This window comes from Homo sapiens, chromosome X (assembly GCF_000001405.40).
Source record: "Homo sapiens chromosome X, GRCh38.p14 Primary Assembly".
Taxonomy (NCBI): domain Eukaryota; kingdom Metazoa; phylum Chordata; class Mammalia; order Primates; family Hominidae; genus Homo; species Homo sapiens.
This window is the reverse complement of record NC_000023.11, coordinates 1,681,044-1,682,897: the sequence shown is the minus strand read 5'-3', so window position 1 is coordinate 1,682,897 and position 1,854 is coordinate 1,681,044.

Sequence of the window (1,854 nt, the reverse complement as noted above, 5' to 3'; positions counted from 1 at the left end):
TACCATTTGACCCCGCAATCCTATTACTGGGTATATACACAAAGGATTATAAATCATACTATAAAGACACATGCACACATATGTTTATTGCTGCACTGTTCACAATAGCAAAGACTTGGAACCAACCCAAATGCCCATAAATGATAGACTGGATAAAGAAAATGTGGCACATAGACACTATGGAATACTATGCAGCCAGAAAAAAGAATAAGCTCATGTCCTTTGCAGGGACATGAACGAAGCTGGAAACCATCATTCTCAGCGAACTAACACAAGAACAGAAAACCAAACACTGCATGTTCTCACTCATAAGTGGGAGTTGAACAATGAGAACACATGGACACAGGGAGGGGAACATCACACACCGGGGCCTGTCAGGGGCTGGGGGTTAGGGAAGGGACAGCTTTAGGACAAATACGTAATGTAGATGACGGGTCAATGGGTGCAGCAAATCACCATGGCACGTGTATACCTATGTAACAAACCTGCACGTTCTGCACATGTACCCCAGGACTTAAAGTACAATGAAAGAAAGAGAGAGAGAAAGAGAGAAAGAGAGAAAGAAAGAGAGAAAGAGAGAGAGAGAAAGAGAAAGAGGAAGAGAGAGAGAAAGAGAGAAAGAAAGAGAAAGAGAGAGAGAGAAAAAGAGGAAGAGAGAGAGAAAGAGAAAGAGAGAGAGAAAGAGAGAAAGAGAGAGAGAAAGAGAAACAGAGAAAGAGAAACAGAGAAAGAGAAACAGAGAAAGAGAAACAGAGAAAGAGAAACAGAGAAAGAGAAACAGAGAGAAAGAGAAAGAGAAACAGAGAGAAAGAGAAAGAGAAACAGAGAGAAAGAGAAACAGAGAGAAAGAGAAAGAGAAACAGAGAGAAAGAGAAAGAGAAACAGAGAGAAAGGGGGAGGGGGAGAGGGAGGGAGAGGGAGGGAGAGGGAGAGAGAGGGAGAGAAAGAGAGAAAGAGAGAGGAGAGAAAGAGAGAGAGAAAGAGAGAGAGAGAGAGAAAGAGAGAAAGAGAGAGAGAAAGAGAGAAAGAGAGAGAGAGAGAAAGAGAAAGAAAAGAGAGAAAAAGAGAAAGAGAGAGAGAGAGAAAGAGAAAGAGAGAAAGAGAGAAAGAGAGAGAAAGAGAGAGAAAGAGAGAGAGAAAGAGAGAGAGAAAGAGAAAGAGAGAGAAAGAGAGAAAGAGAGAGAGGGAGAGAGAGAGAGGGAGAGAAAGAGAGAAAGAGAGGAGAGAAAGAGAGAGGAGAGAGAAAGAGGAGAGAGAGAGACAAAGAGAGAGACAGAGAGACAGAGAGACAGAGAGACAAAGAGAGACAAAGAGAAAGAGAGAGAAAGAGAAAGAGAGAGAGAAAGAGAAAGAAAAAGAGAGAAAGAGAAAGAGAGCAAGAGAAAGAGAGAAAGAGAAAGAGAGAGAAAGAGAGAAAGAAAGCTAGCTTCAATTGGAAAAAAAAAGGATATACCAATTATTATTTTTTTTTCTTCCAGCTCCTAAACGTTGAAACCTGAATCTTTCATGTTCTCCTCTTTTGGTGTCTCTGTTTGAATTAATTCCATCTGTGCTGCTATTTTCCCTCTCCTGAGTAAGGAAAGTTATTTCCATATTGAAATGCTGAAGCGTATTATTTGGAAACTCCTAGGTTTGCTGACTTTCTAGAAGCATTCGCAGAAGACAGCGTGTAGTCACACTCACAGCTACGATTTATTTATTTATTTATTATTTATTTATTTATGTATTTATTTAGAGACGGAGTCTCGCTCTGTCCTCCAGGCTGGAGTGCAGGGTGTGATCTCAGCTCACTGCACACTCCACCTCCCGGGTTCACACCATTCTCCTGCCTCAGCCTCCCGAGTAGCTGGGACT